The sequence below is a fragment of the Homo sapiens genome, chromosome 17 (genome assembly GCF_000001405.40).
Source record: "Homo sapiens chromosome 17, GRCh38.p14 Primary Assembly".
Lineage (NCBI taxonomy): Eukaryota > Metazoa > Chordata > Mammalia > Primates > Hominidae > Homo > Homo sapiens.
This window is the reverse complement of record NC_000017.11, coordinates 61,802,051-61,824,627: the sequence shown is the minus strand read 5'-3', so window position 1 is coordinate 61,824,627 and position 22,577 is coordinate 61,802,051. Positions and strand designations below refer to the sequence as shown.

The 22,577-nt window shown below is 35.1% G+C and overlaps 1 protein-coding gene across 22 annotated transcripts in view, besides 1 other annotated feature; it reads left to right on the top strand.

The window, feature by feature from the left end:
- Window positions 1-22,577, top strand: part of BRIP1 (BRCA1 interacting DNA helicase 1) — a 184,390-nt gene that overhangs the window by 38,901 nt on the left and 122,912 nt on the right. For all 22 annotated transcript variants that reach the window (XM_047436893.1, XM_047436891.1, XM_011525333.4 and 19 more), the window contains exon 7: window positions 15,871-16,161. In XM_047436893.1, the coding sequence (XP_047292849.1) occupies window positions 15,871-16,161 (291 nt within the window). The remainder of the gene's footprint in view (window positions 1-15,870; window positions 16,162-22,577) is intronic.
- Window positions 7,848-8,870: an enhancer, noted in NCBI's record as "VISTA enhancer hs778". NCBI's record gives its function as "enhancer in: other[7/11]" and the evidence as "EXISTENCE:transgenic organism evidence [ECO:0001131][PMID:17130149]".

Genomic DNA, 22,577 nt, shown 5'->3' with positions numbered 1-22,577 from the left:
TGCAACTTCATTGTTTGTGTGTAGATATCCAGGTTTCCCTGCACCATTTGTTGAAAAAACTGTTCTTTTCCCATTGAATGGTCTTGATAGGCTGCTGAAAATTATTTGACCATATATGTGGGGGTTTGCTTTTGGAATTTCTATTCTGTTCCATTGGTCTATATTTCTGTTTTTATGCCAGTACCATGCTGTTTTTCTTACTGTAGCTTTGTAGTAAGTTTAGAAATCAGAAAATGTGAGACCTCCAGTTTTGTTCTTTTTCAAGATTATTGTGGTTATTCGGGGTTCCTTGAGAATCCATGTGAATTTTAGGATGGTATTTTCTATTTCTGCAAGAAACTTCATTGGGTTATTGATAGGAACCGTCGCTTTGTTTTGAAACACATTTTCACTGGGTATTGAAGTTTAGGTTCACATTTTCTTTCTTTCAGCACTTAAAAGATATTCTGCCCTTGGCTTGTCTTACATAGTTTCTATAGAGTAATCTGTGGCTGCTTTAAAAATTCTATCTTAGGCCGGGCATGGTGGCTCATGCCTGTAATCCCAGCACTTTGGGAGGCTGAGGCGGGTGGATCACCTGAGGTCAGGAGTTTGAGACCAGCCTGGCTAACATGGTGACACCCTGTGTCTACTAAAAATACAAAAAATTAGGCAGGTGCGGCGGCACATGCCTGTAATCTCTGCTGCTCAGGAGTCTGAGGCAGGAGAATCACTTGAACCCAGGAGGCGGAGGTTGCAGTGAGCTGAGATCACTTTGGGCAACAACTGCGAAACTCCGTCTCAAAAAAAAAAATTCTATTTTTATCTCTGCTTTCAGCAATTCAACTAAGGTGTGTGTGTGTGTGTGTGTGTGTGTGTGTGTGTGTGTGTTTATTGTGTGCTTGGGGTCATTGAGCTTTTTGGATCTATGGTTTTATAGTTTTCATCAAATTATGAACAATTTGAGCCATTTAAAAATATTTTCTTAAGTACTCATTTTTTTCCTTTCAGACTTCAATTATGTGTATATTAGACAGCTTGATATTATACATCACTGACTATATGTTCATTTTTTAAGCTATTTTTTCTTCTTTGTGCTTCATTTTGTCTACCTTCTATTGCCGATTTGTCAAGCTCCTTGATCTCTTCTGCTATTTCTAATTTGGTGTTAAATCTTACTAGTGGATTTTTCTTTTCAGTTATTGTGTTTTCATCTGTAGAAGTAAAGTAATGTAGTTATCACCTCTTTGTTTCCTTTTCTCTGAGATCACAATTCAGTGTCTGAAAAGTACTGTTTCATATATCTTGTCCAATTTGTTAGTAGTTTATGGTGCAAGATAAGATTTCTGTTTTTTCGTATGGCTAAAAGCAGAAGGCCATACAATCATATTTTTAAGGACATTTATTGTTTCTTTAAATGTTGGCCTTTTGGAAAACTTAAACAAATATATGCATTGTTCTAAGTGAAAACTACTATAAGCCAGATGTTGCATTACTTGTGCAAGGTTAACGTTTCATTCAGAAGATAATTGATATTGACAACAGCATTGGAAACATGTATGAATCTTTTAAAGAAAGATGCTTTTGAGGTTTAGTGAAGTAGGCACACATCAGGGCAGTAAAAATGTCAGATTCTCCTTGTTACTCAGTGAATCTGGAGTAGGAGAAGCAGTCACCATCCTGGGGTACTTCATGATCTGTGTTGATGATCTGCTATTTTGACCATAGTTCCTCAGCCTTCTTGAAACTTACGACCTAATTTAGCCATTAATTCAACAGCACCACTACACATGGGACTTCGTTGTCATTTGGAACCGTCCCACCTTTAAACTGAAAACTTGTTGGTCCCCATATTAGTCATACAGGGCCTTTTTTTTTTTAAACACAAACTTTTCCCCATTCACATCCCACTACACATTTACACATCACTGGATGTTTGTCAATTATTTTTCCTCCTTTCTATTGATTCTTTTCCTTAGCTATAACCATGTTATGTTTTCTCCTGTCCTTCCACAAGGAAACCTTGTCTCAGCTCTTTCCTTAATCTAATATTCTGAACAATAGTAGATGTGAGAGCAGTCTGTTTTCCTATTCAGTCATCTCATTAACCTGTATGATTGATTTGACTGGCCTTACTGGATAGTCTGTCCAGTTCCCTTTCTTCCTTGGCGCTTTTTGGTGCATTTTTCCCAGAGGGCACATAACTGGATCTATTAGTACGACAAAAATCTTATCAAATTGAGTAAAATGATTCTGCAAGCCCTGAAAAACTAGTTACTTCTCCTTTTGGTAGTATCTCTACCCTGTATATTGTTTTCTTTTCTGTGTATGTTTTTAAAAAATGTAATTGTTTTTATAAAAGTGATATTTGCTTATAAAAATTCTAGTAACATCAAAGATTTTACAGAAAAAAATGATGAGAATCCCATTATCAGTCTATTCGTCAAATAGCTTTTCTTCTTCTTTTATTGTCTTTTATTTTTTGTCATTTACTAATTTTATGTAACGCTTATAGGGAAGACATTTCATTCATTAATTTATATTTTTCACATCAAAAACCAGTCACACGAGGTTTTTATTATGTCTTCTGTCATTTAGTTCTTTTACTGGTGGCTATTACTGATTCTTCTGACAATTTTTAGTCATTAACAAATGTTTTCATGTGCAGTTTTAGTTAATGTGAGATTTATTTATTTTGTTGCTTATTTCTACCAGTAATATTCATTGAGCCTTCAATATCTGCTGAGAATGAAATGGTGGCCTGATGTGGTGATATTCACCTGTAGCCCCAGCTACTTGGGAGGCTGAGACGGAAGGATCACTTGAGCCGAGGAGGTTGAGGGTTGAGAATGAAGTGAGTCATAATTGTGCCATTAAACTCCAGCATGGGCGAGAGAGAGAGAGAGATCCTGTATCTTAAGAAAAATTTTAAAAAGACAAAAAATGCAAAAAGTAGCCAGGCGTGGTAGCATGTGCCTATAGTCCCAGCTACTCGGGAAGCTGAGGCAGGAGGATTGCTTAAACCTAGGAGTTCAACGTTGCAGTGAACTATGATTATATCACTGTACTCCAGCCTGGGCAACAGAATGAGACCCTGTCTGTAAAAAAAAATAAAATTAAAAATAAAAAGGTAAAAAATACAAGAAAAAAAAAGAGAATGAAATTGAGGCAGGAGAATAGGGTCTGGAGGCAGGGAACCTAAGGCCGATTCACACTGACTTCCTAAAACTGAATCAAAAAGAAAAACTCACCTCTCCACCCCCAAGTAACAAAAGGATCAGAGGCTACTCTGTTTGCAACACCCTGCCTTTCTACTGAATGGCAGGTTAAAGAATGGAAAGTACCTCTCCTTCCCACAACCAGTCTTCATGTGCATAGGGTGTAACTCTGTAACTTCACTTCAGCCTCTGATTGGTCCCCTCTCACAACCAATCAGACTGGTCATGGGCCATGTCTTCCTTTGCATAGGATGTAACTGTAGCTTCCCTTCAGCTTCTGATTGGTTGCCTCCCACAACCAATCAGACTGGTCACAGGCCACGTGTTTATTTACATAGTGTGCAACAAAATAACCAATGGAAACCTCTAGAGAGTATTTAAACTCCAGAAAATTTTGTAACCAGTGCTCTTGAGCCTCTTGCTCAAGCCCCCTCCCACTCTGTGGAGTGTACTTTCTTTCTTTCTTTCTTTTTTTTTTTTTAAGACAGAGTCTCGCTTCGTTGCCCAGGCTGGAGTGCAATAGCGGGATCTCAGCCCACTGCAACCTCCGCTTCCCTGGCTCAAGTGATTCTCCTGCCCCAGCCTCCCGAGTAGTTGGGATTACAGGTGCATGCCACCACGCCTGGCTAATTTTTGTATTTTTAGTAGAGACAGGGTTTCACCATGTTGGCTAGGCTGATTTTGAACTCCTGACCTCAAGTGATCCACTCCCCTCGGTCTCCCAAAGTGTTGGGATTACAGGCGTGAGCCACTGTGCCTGGCCCTTTTTACACTTTTGTAACCAGGGTTGGCAACTTAAATGAGCACCAGATAGGTAGCATGAATGAAAGAAGGGGTCTAAGTATAAGTGCATGTGATTACATTCTTTAAGTGGCAGGGACTGTGATACCTTGAGAGTATATGTCTCATCCAAATGTGGCAATCTAGTCAATGTTAGTGGATTGCTGTCCTGTAAGAATACAGGCCTAATGTGGCCAGTCAACCAGTTTTTCTAGAAGAAACCAGCACTATGGATTTTCATCTCATAATTTTTAAGTAGTTCAAATTTATAAAACTCTGTGTAGCCATTCAAAACATGATTGTGAAGCAGGTATGATTTGTGGACCTCCAGTTTGCAACTTCAGCTACTAAGTAAGTTTATTTTAGTGGTGTTTTAGGTGGGAAGGAGGGCAAATGTGTGTACCTAATCTGCCATATTAGACTGGAAGTCTCGTGGTTTCAGTTCTTATATACTGATCTTTAATTCAACTGTAAATTATTTTGATGTAAGGTGGGAGATAGGATCTAATTTTTTTCCCCAAATAGTCATTCATCTAAATATTAGTTGAATAATTTCCCCCACAGATTTGAAATGCCACCTGATTTAAACAGGGTGGTTTGCTTTTTTTTTTTTTAATTTTTAATTTTGGTGGGTACATAGTAGGTGTATATATTTATGAAGTACATGAGACATTTTGATACAGGCATGCAATGTGTAATAATCATATTAGGGTAAATGAGGTATCCATCACCTGAAGCATTTATCCTTTGTGTTACAAATAATCCAATTATACTCTTAGTTATTTTGAAATGTACAATTACATTATTTTTTACTATATTCACCCTGTTGTGCTAGCAAATACTAAGTCTTATTTATTCTTTCTAACTACTTTTTTGTTCCCATTAACAACTCCACTCTCTCCCCTCCCTAGACTACCTTGCCCAGCCTCTGAAAACCACCCTTCTACTCTCTCTCTCCATGAGTTCACCTGTTTTAATTTTTAGCTCTCACAAATGAGTGAGAACATGCAAAGTTTGTCTTTCTGTGCCTGGCTTATTTTACTTAACATAATGACCTCCAGTTCCATTTATGTTGTTGAAAATGACAGGATCTCATTCTTTTTATGACTAAATAGTACTTCATTGTGTATGTGCCACATTCTCTTCATTCATTCATCTGTTGATGGACACTTAGGTTGCTTCCAAATCTTGGCTATTGTGAATAATGCTGCAATAAACATGAGAGTGCAGATATCTCCTCGATATACTGATTTTCTTTCTTTTGGATATACACCTAGCAGTGGGATTGCTGGATCATATGGTAATTCAATTTTTAGTTTTTTGAGGAATTTCCAAATTGTTCTCGATAGTGGTTGTACTAATCTACATTCCCACCAACGGTGTATGAGGGTTCCCTTTTCTCCACATCCTCGCCAGCATTTGTTATTGCTTGTGTTTTGGATAAAAGCCTTTTTTTTTTTTTTTTGAGACAAATTCTCACTCTGTTGCCCAGGCTGGAGTGCAGTGGCATGATCTCGGCTCGCTGCAACTTCTGCCTCCCGGGTTCAAGTGATTCTCCTGCCTCAGCCTCCTGAGTAGCTGGGATTACAGGCGTGCACCACCACACCTGGCTGATTTTTGTATTTTTGGTAGAGATTGGGTTTCACCAAGTTGGCCAGGCTGGTCTCGAACTACTGACCTCAGGTGATCTGCCCCCCTCGGCCTCCCAAAGTGCTGGGATTACAAGTGTGAGCCACCGTGCCCAGCCAATAAAAGCCATTTTAATTGGGATGAAATTATATCTCATTGTAGTTTGGATTTGCATTTCTCTGATGATCAGTGATGTTGAGCACCTTTTCATATGTCTGTTTGCCATTTGTATATCTTTTGAGAAATGTCTATTCAAATTTTTGGCCCATTTTTAAATCAGATTTTTAAGGGAGTGATCTGCTTTTTAAGAAATAGAAACCCGCTAAAAGAAAGATCATGCAGGAGATATAATTCCCCTCATTGGAAATGAAAAGTTTTTAGGCAGCTTCTCTGTTCTCTTTGGGGCCTCTGGTGTGACATCTGCATTTCTCAGCAAAGTTTTCTCATTATTTTTTGTAGATTGGTTTTTCTAGATACTTACACTCTTTCATATGACCTTACCATGACATCTCAAAGTGGAAGCCTAAAATCTACCAAATGATGTGGCCTATTTTCTGTAATTAATCAACTCAGTCTAAATGCCCCAAATACAAGTTCTTGGGAAAGTGAAACTAATTGATCTTGCTATGCCTGAGAGTGTCTTTGGATATGTGTTATTAATGTGGATATTAGGTTCAGCCTTTCAGCAGGGGATATAGATGATTTCAGAGTAAGTAGGTGGACACATGTCCATAGAGGTGCCTAATACAGCATCTTTATCATATATTTGAAATTCTTACATCTATAGAAATATATACCCTACTTGCCCATCTTTCCCCCCCCTCCCCCCTTTTTAGAGATGAGGTCTTGCCATGTTGCCCAGGCTGGTCTCGAACTCCCAAGCACAAGTGATATGCCTGCCTTGGCCTCCCAAAGTGCTGGGATTACAGGTGTGAGAGATCACACCTGTCCCCATCTTATTTTTCCAAAAAGTTTTGGTTATTCTCACTTATTTATTTTCAAGATTAAATTTAGATTACCCAAAAAAAAATCTTGCTGGGATTTTGATTGGAATTCAGACAAAAATTAGAACAAAAAAGATTAAGAAAAGTAGTTTACTAGTCTACAAAAATTGTGAACCCAGTTTTCATGAGCTGCAACCTGCAGAACCCATTTTTACCTATGAGCACACAATTTTTACAGTGTACTTTTGCTTTTTCCTTTCTAACTTGAATTTACGAAGAGAATTTCTCACACATACAATGCACCTGCAATAACCATTGGTTTTCTAGAATCTCTGATAATACTTTAAATGTATTCTGTCCACTAGCCACATGTATTTATGTTTTTTGATTAATTAAAATTAAAATTCAGTTAGTTGTACTAATTACATTTCAAGTGCCCATGCGGCTAATGCCAAATATATTGAATAGTGCAGATATCAAATACGCTGTCATCACAGAAAATCCTGTTGGGTAGTGCTGCTTTAGAGACTTGTATGTAATAATAACCATTTAATTTTTAAAGCCCATAGAAGCACAAATCTCTATGTCATATGTTTTGTTTATAGCATTTTGGTTAATATGTGGAAAATGACATGATAGGATAGCATTGTTTTCTCATTTTAAAAGGTTCATTGAAGAAAGTTTGAAAAATACCATAAAGGAGAAAGTAAAAATTACCTGCAATCTCAAGAGATAGGGTTTTTTTTAAAAGCCTTTTTGAAATACAATCTATAACCAAGTGTACATATCATAAATTACAATTGGATGAATTTTCACCGACTAAATAATACATATATGTCTTTTTACCACAGTTTCTCTATTCCCAGGTTCTTTTTGATTCATGTCTTGATTGTTTGGATTTAATAATCATGTAGTTTTATTGAAGATGGGCACAAGAGTATATTTCTTATATCAGGAGGCATATGAAGCCAGTTAGTCTCAATACCATTGATGCTGAATTTCACCACTTGGTTAGAGTGTCACTGCCAGGTCTCTTCATTGTAAAGGTACATTTTCCTTTTGTAATTAATGAATAATCTGTGGGGTGATATTTTGAGACTTTGTCAATATTCTGTTCCCTAATAACTTTTCACTGAAAGATTTCAGCATCCATTTATGTAACTTGCCTGAATCAGTTAGTACAGGAAAGTTGCAAAATGGTGATTTTTAAAATTCTATCATTTTATTTACAATTCTTAGCTGGCATTCTTATTTAAAGAAGATATTTTCCGCCTACCCGCCCACTTCCCCATTTTGCTCGTTTGAGTCTTCTTTTTCCCCTTTTTATTTTTTATAAACACCCTGGGTTTTTCTCATGAAGTTGATCGGTGTGACTCATCACTGCTTTGAGACTCATTGCTATAATCACATCTATGTAAAGTTCTATTATACCAGGATAATTTTTGCTTTATAGCAGGTCAGTCATCTTTATGATATGCTTGTTCTTAAACTGATAATTCTTATTGATTTACTCTATTGAAACACAGACTTTTCAGAAACTGGAGCAACTGTGTTAAGGAATTCCCATTTACACTAGGCAAGAAAGTAAACAGTAAGTGGAGAGTAGGGTAACAAACACTTATGGTATCAAAAAACAACCGTGAAAAGGATCTGTCTTAATGTGCTAGCCCACTGCAGTTTAACATATTGCTTACAACCTTCACAATAGAATTTGAGTGACTTCAGTTACACATTCCAGGAGACTGGCAGTCTGTTACAATCAGAGTCTGAACTTTAGAGCAGGCTAATTTACAGCGATGGGATGAAGAAAGTTGTGGATTTGTATTACACACTCTCACCTGACACTGTATCTGATCCCCTACCTGCTGATTGACATCTTGAATGAGCTCTTTGAAGCAAGTTCCAGCTTAATTAAAACGTTTGCTTGGTTAGCAGTGATCTATGAAAGCCTGTGATAAATATTGAATCAGGTTCACCTGCTGGTTGCTGTGAGTGGATAAACAGCTGCTTTGTGCAGTCTAATCATGAAACGGTGGCAGTAGGGTACTACTACTGTTTGAATTTTTAAAAAAAGAATAGTTGAAAAGGTATAGTTATGTTACTTTTGCTATCTTACTAGAGTGTGTGCTAATGTGAGATTTTGCACAACGGGCATTCAGTACCTGTTTAGATGGCTTGGACAACAGCAAATGGTTGATAAAGATTAAAAAACCCTTTTTTATGTCTCAAAGTTTGTAGTATAATTCTATGTTCATTGGCCTTTTACCACTAGCTCTTCATATGCATGACTTTTTGAAATAAAGGGCAGTGTTTTGCTTTTTTGCTTAAGTGGTAGATGAAAACAATCCTGTTAAAGCTTCACTTTAAAGATTTAAGGTTATGAATTTCAACTTCTCCACAAATTTATTGTGTATTTTGTGGGAATTTGAATTCTTCTGAATTTCCTTTTTTATCTGTAAAATGAAGTTAGAAATATACATTAGTGAACTGAGTATTTTAGCCTTATGTTAATATTAGGTAATTAACAAACATTAAAATAGAAATGAGTTCAGAAGCAGTGGAGGAAACTTTATGAAATTCTCTTGGCTGTTGTTTATTCCTTTACAGAATAACTATGTCTGGCTAATTTGGTTATAAAGAAAATGTTGTTTCCATTTGATTTTCGTTAAAAAACCAGATATAAATTCTGGAATAAAGCCCTAACCCAAATCAGTCACAATCTGCTTTGAGCACTTGATTAAAGTTAGGGGTTCACTTTCTAAAAATGCACACAAAATTGTGTCTGTAGTTTCTGGGTGATCTGTAATAGCCCATGGACCCTAATTTGAGAACCCATTTCCTAATAAATTAGGTTGAAAACTTTTGAGGAGGAGGTGTTAAGATGAAAGCTATTCTGCTGGGTATGAAACAACTGAGGAGAAACCAGAACAGAGTATATTTACTGTGGGTTTTTTTTTTTTTTTCCAGCACTTCTAGCATTTTTCAGGTATGTTTTTCATGACAATTGTTAGCTTTTAAGATTATCTTCCATAGTCTTGATTCCTCACTCTCTACCTGAAGTTTTATATTTTTATTTCTATCATCAACTTATTTAGAATTTTATGGGGAAAATACAATTTTGTTTAAGCCATACTCAGCCTGTTCAACTGCTTGTTCATGTTTATCGATGTCGATGCATACAACTGTCATTCATATATTTTCATTATAATATTATTCCATTGATTGGAAAGAGCCCACAATTTACTCATCCATTCCTTCTGTTGATACATGTAGCTTGTTTTTCTCACTATTAAAACAATGCTGCAATTAATATTCCTCTTGTATCTGTCTTAATGTGCAAGAGTTTTTCTAGCATGTATACCTAACAGTGTCATGCTGGGTCAAAGGGTATATGTATCTTTGATTTCACTAGATCACCAATTTGCTCTCAAGTAGTTGTGCCAATTTATACTTCGATCAGCAGTGAATAAGAGTTTCTTCATATCCTCTCCAGTACCCAATCTGGTGGATAGGAAATGGAATCTAATTATGGTTTTAATTTGCATTTTCCTAATTACTAGTGAAGCTGTACATTAGATGGCACATCTTTTCAGATATTTATTAGCCTTTCAGCTTTTCTCTTCTGTGATTTGCCTGTTCTTGGTTTTCTGTAGGGTTTGTCTTTTAAAAATAGATTTATTGGAATTCTTTATATGTTGTAGATACTGATCCTCACTTGACTGTAAGCACTGCAAGTATCTTCTGTCAGCCTGTGCCCCCTTTTTACCTATTTTTCTTTCCTTCTTTAAGGAATATGTATCTTTAAATAGAAGTTTAACATGTTAATGAAGCTGTGTTTTCACTCATTTGTGTTTTTGGTTTATTGTTTTAGGAAATCCTTCTCTACATTTCGATCATAAAAGATATCTTCCTATGGAAGAAGAGACCATATAGCCTTTGAAGCTTGAAATGTTTACTGTCTGGCTCTTTTGCTGACTCTTGCTCTAAAGAGTCTATTAATTGAAAGTTTGTGTTTTTTATTTTTCCCTTGGGGGACATAATATGGATCTTGTTATAACATATTTGATTTAAATGTCAACTAATAAGTTAAAACAATTTTTATGAAGATCATACTTAGGAATATTTTGTAATTGCATTCATAAAATAATATAACTAACTTTAAACAATTCCTTGGTTTATGAGTGAAAATGGTGTGATAAACTCCAAGAACTACACTTTGTAGAACAATTTAAGAATGAAGCTCTCTTTGTCAGTAAGATGAGGTGATCCTTGTCATTGTCTTCTCCGTGGCTTGATATATAGGGATTCCAATGTCTCTTGAGTCAATGAATGAATGAAATGGGATATTAGATGAAAAATGTTTAGCACAAGGACAGGCTTAAAAATGGCAGTATTATTACTAATGAAAATATTGGGATATATGTTTGTCACGACTAAAATACTAGCATAAGATGGTTTTTCTTTTTGGCCTTGAAAAATAGTAATTGTCCTGTACTTTTTCCTTTAAAAGCTAATCTGGATTTTGAAGTATCTTTTTGATATGTGCAGCACTTCAAATTAGGACATCATTTAAGCATCTGTCAGATTTAATTGTAATGCATGGGTACAGTATTTGGTTCAGGGACATTTAGTCATAATTCATCAGTTTAAAAAAAGCTAAGTTACAGTTATGTGCAAAACACCACTCTCGATGAATGAGCTATATAAAGAAATGTAAGACATAGTTTCTGTCTTCAAGGAATTTGCAGTGTGGTTGGAAAGACAATACATGCACATGTGGAAAGTTATGGAAGAACACAAGTTTTTGTATTTTTTTTTTTTACTGTTTCATTGACCTAGTTTTCCTTTTATTTCACTCAAACAGGTTTCTCTTCATTCTCTTTTTCTCTCTACTTCTTTATATACTTAGTTTTCGTACTCCTGCCTGCTTTTGAAATTCAATTTGTAGTCTCCTTTGAGAATCTCTCCTGATTTACAGTTAGCAAAGGAACTTCTTCTTTGGCAATGAAATTAGTTCCTATTTCTTTATCATTTTCCATTTCTAAAAATATTTAATTGCTATGCTCATTTTTCAGGTATTTAGGCATAGTATTTTTTTGTGTGAGTGGTAGGGAAAGTTTGGAGAAAGTTATAAATCTTTAGAAGTTGACATTGTGGTATGTTACCGTTTGAACTTATAATTATAGCTTGTGAAAGGAACAGTGGCAAGGACTCAGCAATTCATCTTTCTTTCAAGATCAAATCTTCGAACTCTTCATCTTTGAAAGAATGTAGACATGTCTCTATATAATACAACAAGAGAGGGAATATAATTTATTAAACACAAGAAAAATTTTCTGAAAATCCTTGGTTGCTGATGTTCTAAGAACAGTTTTGATAATTGTAGATTTGAAATGTATTTTTAAACAATTGGCTACTGCACATGGAAATATTATAGCTGTCACATCCACATGTATCTCCTGTTTTTTTTTTTTAATGATAGTATATTTTTGCAGTTACTTGGGTTGGGTTTTCTTGCCTTTTCTTGAAGTAAAAGGACTCTGAACAGTTTCTAGCTTGGAGAAGAAGCCATTTCTTAAAGAGTTTGGTTCTGGCACTGTGTAGCCACTTACAGGTCTTAGAGTTTACAGATTTTGGAAAGCCCCATGTCTTATGTATTGATTTTCAGATATATTATTGGATGAGAGTGAATATTATAAAATTTATTCTCTAGTTTCCTGGAGAAAAGGAAATCTCTGTCAATTTAAACAGCAAAGGGAAAATAAAAAAGTCTTTTTGAAAGATAAACATGATCATTTGTTAGCAGGAAAAATACTCAATAAGAGATACAAAATTATTTAATTTTATTCATCTAATTGTTTTAAGACCCCTGGGTCAAAGGGTTTCAGAGAGAGGCCATAAAGTATTAGCCTGGTAATTTGATTGGGGGATATTCTGACCTCCTGACACTGCTGGCATCAGGATCCTTCCTCTAGTTTTCTTAGAGCATTGAAAGTTGCTGATTTTGGTACAGGTAATTATCTTTTGTTATAAGTGACTTTTTGAAGCCTTTGTTATATTACTACAATCAGTTTTTCTGTCTTCAAATATGATTGTACCAAATCTTTTATTATTTATTTATTTTTTGAGATGGAATCTTGCTCTGTCACCCAGGCTGGAGTGCAGTGGCGTGGTCTTGGCTCACTGTAACCTCCGTCTCCCTGGTTCAAGTGATTCACCTGCCTCAGCCTCCCGAGTATCTGGGACTAGAGGCACATGCCACCATGCCTGGCTAATTTTTGTTTTTTCAGTAGAGACAGGGTTTCACCATGTTGGCCAGGCTAGTCTTGAACTCCTGACCCAAAGCAATCCACGTGCCTCGGCCTCCCAGAGTGCTGGGATTACAGATGTGAGCCACCATGCCCGGCCTGTACCGAATCTTTTAAATGGAAACTTTAATAGAAGATTGCTTCTGAAGAAATAATTCCTGTTTAATAATGCAAAGGGAAAAGAATTAACTTTTAATTTCCACCTTATACCTTACTTGCCTAAGTACCTATTGAAAACCATCTTCTTGGCCGGGCATGGTGGCTTACACCTGTAATCCCAGCACTTCGGGAGGCCGATGCAGGCGGATCACCTGATTTCGGGAGTTCGAGACCAGCTTGACCAACATGGAGAAACCCCATCTCTAATAAAAACACAACATTAGCCAGGCGTGGTGGTGGACGCCTGTAATCGCAGCTACTTGGGAGGCTGAGGCAGGAGACTTGCTGGAACCTGGGAGATGGAGTTGTGGTAAGCCGAGATCATGCCATTGCACTCCAGCCTGGGCAAAAAGAGTGAAAGTCTGTCTCAAAAAAAGCAAAACAAAAAGAAAAACAAAAAAAGAAAACCATCTTCTTGAGGAGTCTACTTAAGTTCATAGATGTTATAATTTGTTCATATTACTTTACAACTTAAAAAAACAAACAAAAACATTTAATATAAAGTTAGCTGTGGTTTATAATATTCTGAATTATGGAGTGAAAAAACAGATTTCAAGTCCTAACTAAAGTCACTCTAGTGAGAAAAGTTTTCTGAGACTAGTTCTTGATCTTTTGCTTTTGTTAGTACCACTACTAGTGTAACATTTAAAGATAAGTAGAACATTAAATTATTTGTGCCAAATTCACCCCTTTTAAAAATTAAAAACTTTGAAAACAAAGTATCTAGTTGTAAAACTGTATAATAGCATCCCTTTCTATTTGAAAAAAAGATATGAAAGATATGTATATATGAAGGTCAGTAAGTTATACACTAAATTATTCGTGATGGGATAGTTGATTTTTAAAAAATATTTCTGTATTATTGTTTGAATTTTTTTGACCAAGAGAAAAGGTGAAATTAAAGGGAGTAGATGGTAAAGCTTTAAGTGGAATTGATGTTGAAAAGTGTAACATCAAAAAGTAAGTTTTCCCAGCCTTGAGAAAAAGCTACTTTATTGGATTACTTTTATGCTTAGATAGAATGTATCTATATAGTACATAACAGTGCATTGGGCCATAGCATTCTAGTATTCACATGAATTTAACTGTATCATAAGGAAGAGAAATAGTATAATTGAGGGAAAAAATTGATGGTATGAAAAAGTAAATTAATTCTAATTGAGTTACCTTAATTCTTTTTGTATGTTAATTGATTAATGTGATCATTGCAAAAGCCAAAAAGAATTCAGTCAGAAATATCATGATATAATTTGCATTCCATTTTCTCTGTGACCGTAAATTGTTGGATATTGCAACATATGTAACATAAACCACATGTCAGCTGTTTCCTGCCTCACTGTTGACAAGAGCCCCATTCATAACTCTTCTTTTTATCCTTTTAGTGAATAAGTAATTATTCAATATAGAAGGCAGGATATTTGGAACTGGCTATTTAATGTGGCAGCACTCTGTAATGAAATCTGCTGTTACTGGCAACCTGAGAGGAGAATGTAACAATTCCAGCATGGCTGTAACTTTATCTGCTTTGACTGACTGTTTATTTGGCACATCAGTGAACCTTTTATCCCAGTGAGTGACAGCTCCAGAAGGGTCACATTTACATCCATTCTATCATGTATTGTAATATTTAATGGCGGACAAGGTTGAGTGAGACTGGGAGTAATTTGAACTTGCTTTTCCACTGAGTTGAGGCTAAAAGACAGCTTCATCCCCAGTATTGTGGTGTAACATGCTATGACTTAGCATTTGTTTATGAAGGCTAATCTTACTGATTACAATAATAAAAAAAAACAGTCAAGTAGAGTGTTTGTTCTACTAAATTAAAACTCTTTAGCACACAGTCTTTTAAGTTACAATGCTATTTACCTTTTTTCCCTCCCCATCAATGACCACTTCTATAAATTAACCATTTTACACTATTTCTCTAAAATGAGACTTTGTTCTGTGTCATTTGGTGTAATAATTGAGACTTAGAAGGAAGTAGTTATTAAGAACCTGTGAGTTCTAATATATAGCATTAAACTTTTTTTTTTAGTATTTGAGAATTTGGAAACAGAAGAGAAAAATCAGGTAAATTAAGTAGACTATATTCCTGATGTTCCATATGGTTTGTTTAAAGAGACATTTATATAACTATTTCAGTTATGAAACTGAGTTACAAGTGAAATTGTCCAGGAAAAACTACCCTGGATGATAATTTTACTGATTGGTTTACACTCCATGACAGGTAACTGAATTTCAGATATACTTGTTCCACACAAGCAACCTGCTTTCATTATTAAATATTAATATTTTGCATTTATTTTCGTACCTTTGCTAAAGAAGAATTTTCTCTTTTTGAAGTTGTTAAGTGATCCTTTAGATTCAACTTGATAATTCTATTCTTTTGTAAACTATATTTAAAAGTGCTTCAAAAGCATTGGTGTATTAAGGAATATTTGAATGAACTATGCTGTGAACAAAACTATTAACTCTAAACTATAATATCACAAGTTCGTATGAAGCCTAAGAAAAAATTAAAATTGTTCCTACTTTGTTTTATCATTTTTATAATTTATGAAAGAGGAGAGTTAAAATGTACTCAAAACATTTGGAATTGGAGAGTTAGAGTGGTATGTTGGAAAGAATGCAAATTTGGAAATATCATTTATAACTTTTAAAAGAAAGAATGAGGACCAATTTTAAATTGTAGTTTTTTCTTTAATGGCAAGTTTTAGATACTATAATTTCTTGTTATTTCTCTTTATTTGACCATTGTGATTCATTACTTACAGGTTCTGATTCCATGTGAGGTTTGATAACGTTTTTTATGGTAGTTTAGATATTAGTTATCGTTTCTTTCCTTTCTTACAGCCCCCTGGCCACTGTTCTAGGTGCTGTTGTTCTACTAAACAAGGAAACAGTCAAGAGTCATCGAATACCATTAAGAAGGATCATACAGGGAAATCCAAGATACCCAAAATATATTTTGGGACACGCACACACAAGCAGATTGCTCAGATTACTAGAGAGCTCCGGAGGACGGCATATTCAGGGGTTCCAATGACTATTCTTTCCAGCAGGGATCATACTTGTGTCCATCCTGAGGTAGTCGGTAACTTCAACAGAAATGAGAAGTGCATGGAATTGCTAGATGGGAAAAACGTGAGTAAAGTTATTTTGTGTTAGAGAAAAAATAAGGCTGAAAATATTTAAATTACTCAGTATGTGTTTTATATGTACATTTTAGTGATAATCAACTTCGGAAAATCAAATTAACTGCTAGTATTGATATCTTTTAAAAAACAATTTTCCTGTAATAAAATCTTTAGTCAAGTTTTAAAGTATGGGATTTGGTCTTAAAGCTTGGGATATTTAATTCCTTGAAATTAATTTCTGTTGTAGTCAGACATCTTAGTTTCTTCTTTTAAATCCTGCTACCAAAAATAGTCAAACTTGGATGATATCATATGAGGAGATAGAAGTGTTTAAATGGTTTAGTCTAATTAGATCTAATTAATATACTTTATATACTTAAAAACTTCAAAAGCAGATAGTTTATTTAGGCTGTCTGGGCAAAGTTTGAATTTTCTTAATTGAATGAGAAATATAATGATTATCCCACCTCATAATTCTGATAAATACAAACCCCTCTTTTAAAAGTTATACTAAATTATTAACTTTCAAAAGATGTCATTGGTGGTTTTGAAATTTTCCAGGGAAATTAGAATAATATGAATTTGGGCTTGGTGGAAATAGAGAATTCTTTCTTACTAAAGACTTATATGACTTTCAAATAATTTCTTTTGGCAGTATTAGTTTGGGAGCCTATGTTCTGGTGTGATAATTAGTTTACTCTAAAATTGAAGTTGCAAGTATGAAATTATACCCCCAAATCAGTGAACCATAAATTGATTACTATGAAGTGACCAATGATATTTTAATATATTTTTAGAGTTGTTTTGTTTTTCACTAGTATCTTATTAGAGTTGGTTCTACACAAAAAACTGTGAGCTATAGCCCCCAGAGTTTCATTTCATTGATATATCACCCCCTACCATATAATGTGAATTATTTTGTTTTATGCTTTTCTTCCTTAATACTCTCTTTTATAGATGAAAATTTATTTAAACTTTATTTAGGGATGGTCAAAAGATACTTTAACAGATATTCAAACGAGATTATAAAGTATAAGTAGTAAGGTGTTCCAATGGCAAAACTTGAGTGACTTGTTCCGAGCCAGGAGAGAATACAGAATTACTGAATCAAAGTCATTGTTGAAATCCTACAGTCATATTTATTTCCAAAGAGTTATTTCTAACTAACTGAGGAATTGTGAAATTCCTTTACTCTGTATATTAAAAAACTTCTCTTCAAGGAGAGATGAAAGTATTAAGTGTCAGGTGTTCAAAAATAATAAAATAAAGCTCTTTATGGTAAAACTCCATGAATTTCATGCATAAGTAGACTGCTTTCCATAGTGACTAAGTGATCTGCTGAATTCCTCAAATGCTTGAAATTTATTTTTTGGCTATATAGCCTATGCAAGAAGACTTGCTGGCATTGTCACCATATTTTTATCTTTTTTTGTTTTACTTGTTATTGGGGAAATTAATTATGTATTTGTAAAAAATACATTGGCTGGGCCTGATGGTTCATGCCTGTAATCCCAGCACTTTGGGAGGCAGAGGCGGGCACTTGAGGTCAGGAGTTCGAGACTGGCCTGGCCAACATGGCAAAACACATCTCTACTAAAAATACAAAAAATTAGCTGGGCGTGGTGGCGCATGCTTGTAATCCCAGCTACTTGGGAGGCTGAGGCATGAGAATCGCTTGAACCCAGGAGGCAGAGGTTGCAGTGAGCCAAGATCGCGCCACTGCACTGCAGCCTGGGCAACAGAGCAAGGCTCTTGTCTCAAAAACAACCAACCAACCAAAAACATACATTGGTAAAATACATTGGTAAAAGCAATGATAAAGTGTAAGATTGTGTATTGAAGGCAGACAGTTTCATTTTGTGTAACCTAGAATCCTACAGTGCTGGTTACGTTTTTATTGATCTTTACTCATAAGTTTGAATCATGTAAAAATAAAAAGGAATTCAGTAGACTTCAATGTTCCGAATTTTTCATTGGCCTTTAGTTTGTCTTAAAGTGAACAGGTATTTTATTTTTTAATATTAGTAATATGAATAATTGAAGATATCTGCTTGTGGTTTGTCTTGACCTAATTCTGCCTCAGAATGCTTACCTCACGGGCATACATGAACATCCTCTTTCTTGTTCTCAAGCCCTGTTAGTAATTTGGTATTGTAATGAAGGGCAATTACAAAGTCACCATAGGTGTCTGTGTTTACTTTGACTGAATTACCAAAGCGAAATGATAAATAGATAACTGACAGTTTGAATGGAAGTGTTTAAAGTGTGATAACACTTCAATTGACAGACTTCCTCAGGGTTGTGTTACACTGCTAAAATGGATGAGCTTTTCTGGTTTTGCTGTCAGCCTGCAGAGGGGTGTCATTCTAACTGCCCTTAAAGTGTAAACTTTCTGATTTTTTGGCTTGATCCAAGGCACATGTGTTTTTGTTCATTGTTTCTTTTACTAAAGTGCCCTTATACTGGAAAAGTATGCACTTATCTGTTAAAAGTTAATTTTTGTTTCAGTTAAGAAAAAATAATTTTAACTAGAGTCAGGAATGACAATTCTGAAATATTATTTTAGATATATATCTTTTTTTGGTTAAAATGAGACTTAATAGCTCATAGTCATAGATTCTAAAGGCACTTTAGTGATCATTTTGTATAAAGGTAAGCTTTCAGAATTGTATGGAAGAAGCTTGGAATGAAGAAATGGTGAATGTCCTATTATTAAACTCAGTCTGTATCAAACTGAGAGTATGAAAGATGATTGACACGTTTTTACCTGAATCACAGAATTTTAGAGCTGGAAGGAATTTTAGAGATGATATAGTCAGTGAGTCAGAAGGAATCTTACAAGCCTTCTGGTTCAAATATTCTTTTGATGCTTAGTCACATGAGAAAAATGGGCCCTGGAGTTTTCTCAGTCAGACAAGTAATTAGCAAGGAGGGACCAGAACCCAAATTTTCTGATTCCTCATCCATTGCTATTTTGGTTACACTAGAAACAAAATCCAAAGATGGCATTGAGGTAGGGAGAAGTTGACACAGTATGAAGAATAAGAACAGTAGAGGTTAGAGAAAGTGAGTGAAAATAATGTAGAAAATGGCCTAAATAAATATAGTTAGATGAGTCCTTTCCTCCTAATTTTTATTTTTAATACTTTGGAGGACTAACAGGTATCATCCTTTAACATGGCTGAATACAAAGCTTTAGGAGAACTGGTCCTCAGCTATTCATGTCTTGTCCTTTGATTTGCTGACATTCTTTTATAGGTTATGAATCTCTTATGGTTTACTTTGTTTCTAGCAATATCTAGATACATTTGTGTATGTATTGATGTATGTATGTTTTGAAAACACGGATTCTCCTTTTGGATAATTCATAGATAAAAATACATGTAAAGATTATATATATGCATATATATGTGTGTGTATATATATACAATTTAATTTATTATACAGACGTATACAAATACAATTTAATTTTACACACACACACACACACACACACACACACACACACACACACACACAGAAAGAGAGAGACATTTCATCCTGCCTTGGCTTCTCAAAGTGTTAGGATTATAAGCATGAGCCAGTGCGCTCAGCCTGTAATGAAATCTTTTATTTCCAGTAATACAATGGCAAAGGACATTAGTAGATAACCTAAAAGAAGAAATTCAAATTATTGCTGAACCTTGTTAGACTAATTATTTTTATATTTTATAATTTTAATAATTATTAGACAAAAATATTTTGAATATATATATATGGGGAAATTATTATGTATTTGTAAAAAATACATTGGCCGGGCATGATGCTCATGCCTGTAATGCCAGCACTCTGGGAGGCTGAGGTGGGCACTTGAGGTCAGGAGTTCAAGACTGGCCTGGCCAACATGGCAAAACCTGTCTCTACTAAAAATACAAAAAATTAGCTGGGCATGGTGATGCGTGCTTGTAATCCCAGCTACTTGGGAGGCTGAGGCATGAGAAGTGCTTGAACCCATATGTATATATGTATGTGTATGTACACACACATACACACACACACACACACACACACACACACACACACATATGTATATAGCTGCCTCAAAGTCTTTTATCCCTGATATAATTTATATATTTTATGTATGGTTGTTTTTTGTTAAGGATAGCAAACTAGGAAAAATAAATATTTTTATTTCAAAATCGTTTTAAAATAAATAGTAGAATTAATTAAAATAAAAGTGGCCCATTATTCTACCACTTAGTTCCAATGACAATTGAAAAAGAGAAGTAGTACATGTATGTGGTTAGAAAATGAAAAGAGAGGCTTTTTCTAGATCCTCCATCTCCTTAATCCTTTAAGGTAACTACTGTAAGATTTTATATATCTATTCTACCAGAATGTTTAAAAAATGTATTTGCTATAATGTATGTGCACATATTCTTTAAAAAAGCAATTTACATGAATTTAATCATTCTATACACGTTATTCAACATGTTTTTCTCACTTAACATAGAGAGCCTAATCAACACATAGACAAATCTAAATCATTTTTAAGGGCTAAAGTTTTTGTATTAATTTACCATAATTTATTTAACATGTCCCTTATGGGTAGACATTTGGTTAATTTTCAATTTTTTGGCTATTTAACAGTACAGGGTACATCTATTCACATTAATGGTAAAATTTTAAATTTTGGTAGTTTTTTGACAAATTGCCTATGTACTTCTACTACTAGAATTTTATACTTCTACTAAAAATATATATACTTTTCTAATTTTGTACATTTTTAATAGTATATGAGACACTTGTTAGGGCTGGGTTTTATCAAACATTTTATTTTTTTATTAATGCACATAATGAGTATTTTTTTTTGAGACAGGATCTCACTCTGTTGCCCAGGCTGGAGTGCAGTGGCGTGGTCACTGCTCACTGCGGTTTAATTTTTTTTGTTTTTTTGTAGAGATTGAGTCTCCCTGTGCTGCCCAGCTGGTCTTGAACTCCTAGGCTCATGCAGTCCTCCGGCCTTGGCCTCTCAAAATGTTGGGATTATAGGCATGAGCCACTGTGCCCAGCCTGTAATGAAATTTTTTTATTTCCAGTGATAGAATGGGGTGGAGTGCAGTGGCTCATGCCTGTAATCCCCAGCACTTTGGGAGGCCGAGGCAGGCGGATCGCTTGAGTTCAGGAGTTCAAGACCAGCCTGAGCAACATGACAAAACCCTGTCTCTACAAAAAAGGAGCCATATGTGGTGATGCACTTGTGGTTCCAGCTACTTGGTGGCTGAGGCACAAGAATTGCTTGAACCTGGGAGGCGGAGGTTGCAGTGAACCAAGATTGGATCGTGCCACTGCACCCCAGGTGACAGAGTGAGACTCCCATCTCTGAAAAAAAAAAAGGTAATAGAATGGCAAAGGGCATTAGTAGATAACATAAAAGAAGAAACACAAATTACTATTGAACCTTGTTAGACTATTCATACAACACTATGTTAAACTTTGCTAGAAACTATAAAAAATACAAATCAAAACAAGATTCTATTTTTTACTTTTAAGATAGAGATAACAAAAGATAACACCAGTGTTGATAAGGATGTGGGAAAAGGGTAATGCAAAGCAATATATACTTTCTGGAGGATAATTTCACTATATGTTTTCAAGAAACTTAAAAATACCTTGTAGCGTCTGATCCCATAATGCCATTTCTAAAAATATAGACTAAGAAAATATTTAGAAACCAGCATAAGAATGCTCACTGCAGCCTTATGTCTAAAGCAGAAATTGGTAACAGTCTATAAGCCCAGTAATAAGAAAACTGGTTCATCAGCTATGGCACATTAATTCAATGTACATATATGAGCAGCAACGAAAAGATGCTTAGTGATGTCAAGATTTTCCTTGTATGATTTTTAATACGCTAGACAGAAGAAAACAAAGGGAATATGCTTTATAAAAATTTTTGTTTATTGTGGCTGAATTGTTAATAATCCTCAATGCCTGGGGAACATTTGCTTTGTTCTTGTTTTTATTACTATTTAGAGATAGGGCTTTGTTTTGTCATCCAGGCCGGAGTGCAGTGGCTTGATCATGGCTCACTGCATCCTCGAACTCCTGGGCTGAAGTGATCCTCCTGCCTCAGCTTCCTGAGTAGCTAGGACCATTGATGTACGCCACCAATCCTAGAAAATTTTTTATTTTTTGTAGAGACAGGGTTTTGCTACATTGCCCAGGCTGGTATCAAACTCCTCACCTAAAACAGTCCTTTTGCCTAAGCCTCCCAAAGTGCTCACACCTGTCATCGTGCCTTGCTTGTTCTTGTTATTTTAATATTGGGTCACATTGTAGAGATATCCTTATATACACATGTATAGAAGAAATATGAAATGAAATACACCAAAATGTTTCTAGTGCATTCTTTGTGTAATAGAATTATGGATAATTTAGGCT